Source organism: Homo sapiens, chromosome 6, assembly GCF_000001405.40.
Source record: "Homo sapiens chromosome 6, GRCh38.p14 Primary Assembly".
In the NCBI taxonomy this organism is placed as follows: Eukaryota; Metazoa; Chordata; class Mammalia; order Primates; family Hominidae; genus Homo; species Homo sapiens.
Genome location: NC_000006.12, coordinates 18,117,725 through 18,124,844, shown reverse-complemented (window position 1 = coordinate 18,124,844; position 7,120 = coordinate 18,117,725). Strand labels below are relative to the sequence as shown.

Genomic DNA, 7,120 nt, shown 5'->3' with positions numbered 1-7,120 from the left:
AGTTGGTTGTTTATTTGGGATGGAAATGTAGTCAGAAATTATTAAGTTGGTTATTGTGTCCCAGTACGCAATCTTTGAGTCAAATGACATTTGATTAGAAAATGTTCTTTCTTGTCTTACATTAAAGCTCTTTCCAGGGGCCTCAACAGGGGATAAAATATTGTGTTTTCTCAGAAATCTAGCAAATCAGAAGGTGAATGTTCATGATTATGATCTCTAAAGGAAAAGAAATTCTCTAATACAAGGTTTTGTTAAGCACAATGTTCACATAAGACATTTGAGGGAGAACCCCTTAAAAATAAGAGTTTAGGGCCAGGCACGGTGGCTCATGCCTGTAATCCTAGCACTTTGGGAGGCTGACGCGAAAGGTCAGAAGTTTGAGACCAGCCTGGCCAACATGGTGAAACCTCATCTCTACTAAAAATACAAAACTTAGCCAGGCATGGTCACGGGTGCCTGTAATCCCAGCTACTCAGGAGGCTGAGGTGGGAGAACCGCCTGAACCCAGGAGGTGGAGGCTGCAGTGAGCCGAGATCGCGCCACTGCACTCCAGCCTGGTGACAGAGCAAGACTCTGTCTCAAAAAGAAAAAAAAAAAAAAGAAAGAAAAAGAAAAATGAGAGATTATAATACCACAATGGATTCTTCACACAGATTATGCTATCCCTTGTTTGAAGATTTTCCAACATATGGCAAATTCTCTTTGTTTTTGGTCTTAACTGAGATTGGAAAAACTGAACTTAGTGTCATTTGAGGGAATTATTATAATGCAGTGTTTCTCAAACTTGGCTGTACATTATAATCACCTGGGGAGCTTTTATAAATCCCAGCTGTCCAGACCACACCATGGGCCAATTAAACTTTTCGGGTGCGACCCAGGTGTTTACCATGTGCAAAGAAGTTTGAAAATGACTAAAATAGGTAACTCTGAAGTCAAACTGCCTGGCTTCAAATTCCAGGCCAGCCACTTCCTAGCCATGTGACCCTGGGCAAGATATTTGATTTCTATGAATTCTATCAGAAAAAAAGACAATAAAAATAACATATTTTTGTAGGATTGCTATGAGGTTTAAACAAGATAATCTATGTAAATTATTTATTAATTTGCTGCAAAAGTAATCACGGTTTTGCCATTAAAAGTGATGGCAAACACTGCGAATCCTTTTCACCAACCTAACACAATGGGGCAGGCATATGTGAATTCCATAGGCTGGGCACAGTGGCTCACACCAGCACTTTGGGAGGCCAAGGGGTGGGGAGGAATGTGAACAATTTTCACAAGTTCAAGACCAGCCTAGGCAACATAGTGAGACCTCCTCTCTACAAAAAAATTAAAAAATTAGCCTAGTGTGATGGTGCATGCCTGTAGTCCCAGCTACTGAAGTGGGAGGATTGCTTGAGCCTGGGAGATGGAGGCTGCAGTGAGCTGTGATCGTGCCCCTGCACTCCAGCCTGGGTGACAGAGTGAGACTTTGTCTTAAAAAACAAAAAAATGAAGTTCTATGGTAATTATTATTAACTAACAGCTTTCTTATTTCATATTAATTACTCTGCAAGACACTTCCAGCATGGTTGCCCCATCTGACACTCATTCACCTCGTTGATTTTTTTTTGTTGTTGTTGTTGTTCTATAACATTCATTCATGCACAAATTCATTTTACAAGTATGTATTCATCTAACATTGACTTAACTATGAGTATGACAGAAGACACAAAAGAAATGTACACATCTGCCTCACCTCCCTTGGAGTTTATCTTCTCTAGTGTGTTCGTGTTTTCCGGTTCAGATCATAAGCATCATGAGCTAAGGGACCATGTTTTATGCCCGGACAGCCGTAGCACCCGGCGCTGCGGATTGGAGACACTGCTAGGCACCCGGGCTGGAAGATTGGGTTCTAGTTCTTGTTTTGCCGCTTACAGGCTGGGTGACAGGGAGCAATCCTGTTGTCCTCAATAGGTGTGTTTCCTCATCTGAAAGTGTACACAATCCATCCATGACTGCTGTGACGATTACAGGTCTACACAACGCGCATGTGGATTTGTCTTGCAAACGTCCACCATCAGGCCCTCAGGAAACAGTGCCGCGCGTGCCCACCAAGGGGCAGCAGATCGCAGTGCAGAGGCCCGCGGCGCTCGACGTCAGGGCGCACGTCCCACCCCGTGACCATGACTGTGACCGTGACCGAGAGCGTCGCTGGGGCACGGCCAGGCGGCGCGGCGGGAGTGCACAGGACGCGCCATGGCGGCCGAAGCCTCGGAGAGCGGGCCAGCGCTGCATGAGCTCATGCGCGAGGCGGAGATCAGCCTGCTCGAGTGCAAGGTGTGCTTTGAGAAGTTTGGCCACCGGCAGCAGCGGCGCCCGCGCAACCTGTCCTGCGGCCACGTGGTCTGCCTGGCCTGCGTGGCCGCCCTGGCGCACCCGCGCACTCTGGCCCTCGAGTGCCCATTCTGCAGGCGAGCTTGCCGGGGCTGCGACACCAGCGACTGCCTGCCGGTGCTGCACCTCATAGAGCTCCTGGGCTCAGCGCTTCGCCAGTCCCCGGCCGCCCATCGCGCCGCCCCCAGCGCCCCCGGAGCCCTCACCTGCCACCACACCTTCGGCGGCTGGGGGACCCTGGTCAACCCCACCGGACTGGCGCTTTGTCCCAAGACGGGGCGTGTCGTGGTGGTGCACGACGGCAGGAGGCGTGTCAAGATTTTTGACTCAGGGGGAGGATGCGCGCATCAGTTTGGAGAGAAGGGGGACGCTGCCCAAGACATTAGGTACCCTGTGGATGTCACCATCACCAACGACTGCCATGTGGTTGTCACTGACGCCGGCGATCGCTCCATCAAAGTGTTTGATTTTTTTGGCCAGATCAAGCTTGTCATTGGAGGCCAATTCTCCTTACCTTGGGGTGTGGAGACCACCCCTCAGAATGGGATTGTGGTAACTGATGCGGAGGCAGGGTCCCTGCACCTCCTGGACGTCGACTTCGCGGAAGGGGTCCTTCGGAGAACTGAAAGGTTGCAAGCTCATCTGTGCAATCCCCGAGGGGTGGCAGTGTCTTGGCTCACCGGGGCCATTGCGGTCCTGGAGCACCCCCTGGCCCTGGGGACTGGGGTTTGCAGCACCAGGGTGAAAGTGTTTAGCTCAAGTATGCAGCTTGTCGGCCAAGTGGATACCTTTGGGCTGAGCCTCTACTTTCCCTCCAAAATAACTGCCTCCGCTGTGACCTTTGATCACCAGGGAAATGTGATTGTTGCAGATACATCTGGTCCAGCTATCCTTTGCTTAGGAAAACCTGAGGAGTTTCCAGTACCGAAGCCCATGGTCACTCATGGTCTTTCGCATCCTGTGGCTCTTACCTTCACCAAGGAGAATTCTCTTCTTGTGCTGGACACAGCATCTCATTCTATAAAAGTCTATAAAGTTGACTGGGGGTGATGGGCTGGGGTGGGTCCCTGGAATCAGAAGCACTAGTGCTGCCATTAATGAATTGTTTAACCCTGGATAAGTCACTTAAACTCATCTATCCAGGCAGGGATAATTAAAACCATCTGGCAGACTTACAAAGCTTGGGACAGTTATTGGAGATTAATCTACCATTTATTGAATGCATACTCTGTGCAAGGAAATTTGCAAATATTAGCTTATTTAATCTGTACTATCCAGTGAGGTAATTTCTTCCCCCCCAAGATAGAGTCAAGCTCTGTCACCCAGGCTGGAGTGCAGAAGCATGATCACAGCTCACTACAGTTTCAACGTCCCCCGCTCAGGTGGTCCTTCCACCTCAGCCTCCCAAGTAGCTGGGACCACAAGTGTGCATTACCACACTCAGCTAATTTTTGTATTTTGGCAGAGATGGGGTTTCACCATGTTGCCCAGGCTGGTCTCAAACTCCTGAGTTCAAGCAATCCACCTTCCTCGGCCTCCCAAAGTACTAGGAGTACAGGCATAGCCACTTGCTCAGCCATAATTTTTATTATTAATCTCATTGTACAAGTGAGAAAACTGAGACCCAGAGAGCTTAAGTGACTTCCTCGAGGTCATAGTTACTTACTGCCTTAGTCCCAATTTGAATTCAATTCTGATTCCAAATAAGTTGCGCTTAAATAAGACAACAGATGTGGGAAAAATATGTGAATGTGTAGTGTTGCTATGTGTACTGTCTTTACAAGTAGCTAATTATTTTAGCACAAAGATGTGCAAAGAAAGGAGACTTTATGGAGAGTTCAGGAGAAAAAGGATTTTGTGGTGGCCATCACTTTCATTCAATTTGCGACTGCTCTGATGGCACATTAGATGAAGTTACTGTTGATCCTGAGTTACGTGAATAAGAAAAACAATTGAACTGCTTATTAAAAAAGTAAACATGTCTTTTAACGCCTATATCTTCTCCACTATACAAACTCAGAAAATACCACTTGGTTGTTTGAGAAAGGCCTATATTTGTGTAAGTTCTAAACTATTGCAGAACACACTACATACTAGCGTCAAAGGGCTGATGACGCTCCTGTTACATGTTTATGGGGTTTTTTCGTTTGTTTGTTTGCTTTTAGACATGGTCTTGCTCTGTTGCCCAGGCTGGAGTGCAGTGGATTGATCACTGCTCACTGCAGCCTCGACTCCCTGGGCTCAAGCGATCCTCCTGCGTCAGCATCCTGAGTAGCTGGGACTACAGGTGTGTCACCATGCCCAGCTAATTTTTAAATTTTTCGTAGGGATGGGATCTTGTTTTTGTTGCCCAAACTGGTTTCAAGCTCCTGGGCTCAAGAGAGCCTCCTGCCTTGGCCTCCCAAAGCATTGGGACTATAGGTATGAGCCACTGTGCCTCGCCCACGTAAAGTAAAAGCGAGAGCCTAACTCCCATGCCAGTCCACAAAAACCCATTTTCTTGTCAATGCTCTCATCATATAGCACTAATAGTAAGATTTGGGGCACCCTAGACCACGATTTATAAATGCATTTTAAAAAGAAGTTCTATGGACAAACCTCTTCTCCCCACATGCACACACTCCACCCTTAAAGTCACCCCTAGGCTGGTAACTTCACGGGTATTCTGAAAACATAACAAGAAACGTTGTTGCAGGTGGAGATACGAATTCAGACTTATTTGGTCATTTGTGAGTACAGCAACTGAGGATAGATCTTAGACCATTTTCCTTAGGAACAATGACATTTTAATGATTTTAGAATTAGTAGAGCCAATTCAAAAGATTTTTCTCTTTGGAATTATTAATGGCATCATCTCTGACTATAAAGCTGGACATGTGTCCTTTACAGACAGCAGTCATGATAGAGGTGTGGAATATGCAACACAGGGAGGTATGTGAGCAAGGTAGTATTGCTGGTCATCGTGTGGATTACCCAACGTCAAGAATCAGGTGCGCATCTGTGAGATGATGAGGGAGTGTATCAGACCTGTGATAACAAGCCACCTTAGTAACTGCTATCTTTCCGTGGTAGATTATCAGGCTTGGGACTGGGGTGGGGCTGGATACACAACATAAAAAGAACTGTATAAAGCAGCTCTTCCCAGGAATGTCATAAGACAGGAGCAGAGTTTCCTTGAGGAAGACATGAAGCTTGCTGTTCTTGATTCTCAAGCACACATGCGCTGAGGGAATAGTTTCAATGACCTGTAAGGCAGATGCAAAATTCATCTTCCGGACTGTGTTCTTTTTTTTTTTTTTTTTTTTTTTTTTTTTGAGACCGAGTCTGGCTCTGTTGCTCAGGTTGCAGTACAATGGTGTGATCTCAGCTCACTGCAACCTCCACCTCCCGGGTTCAAGCTATTCTCCTGCTTCAGCCTCCGCATTAGCTGGGATTACAGGCGCCCACCACCACGCCCAGCTAATTTTTGTATTTTTAGTAGAGACGAAGTTTCACCATGTTGGCCAGACTGGTCTCGAACTCCTGACCTCAAGTGATCCACCTACATCGGCCTCCCAAAGTATTGGGATTACAGACATGAGCCACTGTGCCCAGACAGACTGTTCTTTAAAGCAAGCTGGTTAAAAGGCTTGAGATATGTCATGCTGAACTCCAGGTTATTAAAGAAATTGGAGAATTCTGAGACAGGCAGGAAAAAATAACCCCAGCAGAAAGTAAAAGCTTCCAAGTTGATGAAGAAGGGTTGGAATGACTCTCAGAGGTTGAAACAAAAGAACCTGCCCAGGAGTAAAGGGAGAAGGAGAAGGAAATAGGCTCTTCCAGAATATCCCCCATGCCCTGCCTGGTGAGTCCATAAAAGCAAACACAGACACTTTGGCTCCTGTGTCAGCAGTTCTCACGTCACCCTCCATCTGTTCCAATTTTGCCCAATTCCCGATCCTTGGACTGTCTCCTGCTTTTGACCTTGTTCTGCCTTCTGGACTTGCCGCCTGGACTTGGCTTTCTCAATCTCTTTCCTTGGCATTTTGTAAAAAACTTGGTTCACACTCATAAATCTCCCCTCTACCAAATCTAGCTCTGGACCCCAGGACCCAAACCATCACCATTTTGCTAGTGCTTTATGCAGAAGATATCTTCCCTGGCCCCCGACTAAGTGGGGTGCAGACCCCACCTGAAGTGAATTATGAACCTTCTGAGGAAGAAGCATTAACCTGTGCACCTCAGAAAAATGAGGAAGAACCACTGATGATAGCAAATTTAATAATCCTTACACCTGCCTTATTAAGAAGAAATATATACTGGCGTTAGTGTTCCACTATAGAGATATGCTATGGTGGTGTATCATGGCTAGTCAGGAGATGAACTGTTTTCTTGGAGAATGTGTAGCAAATATGATAGGGTGGCCAGAGACTCACCACAACTACTGTACTGAATAACCATGGTGTCTTCTGTGCCCACAGCCACTTCTAAGAAAAACTGTCCCATCATAAGCCAGCCGTCAGCAGCCAGGTTTTCTATTACATGATCCCCTCGGACCATAGCTACTTAGATAGGGGTGCACACCTAACAGAAGGACACTCAATCAACCAATGATGCTCCACCAGATGTATTAATTAGACCAGGAAACTGGCTTCCTTTCAAGGAGCACAGAGATCCAATTACATTCTGGTCCTTGATTTTTTTTTTTTTTTTTAGATGGAGTTTTGCTCTTGTTGCCCAGGCTGGAGTACAATGGCGTGATCTC

The 7,120-nt window shown here is 46.6% G+C and overlaps 1 protein-coding gene across 1 annotated transcript; it reads left to right on the top strand.

Annotated features, from left to right (window-relative positions):
* On the top strand, window positions 2,168–4,405 carry NHLRC1 (NHL repeat containing E3 ubiquitin protein ligase 1). Its single transcript, NM_198586.3, has one exon. The coding sequence runs from the start codon at window positions 2,239–2,241 to the stop codon at window positions 3,424–3,426; it is 1,188 nt and encodes a 395-aa protein (NP_940988.2). The 5' UTR covers window positions 2,168–2,238; the 3' UTR covers window positions 3,427–4,405.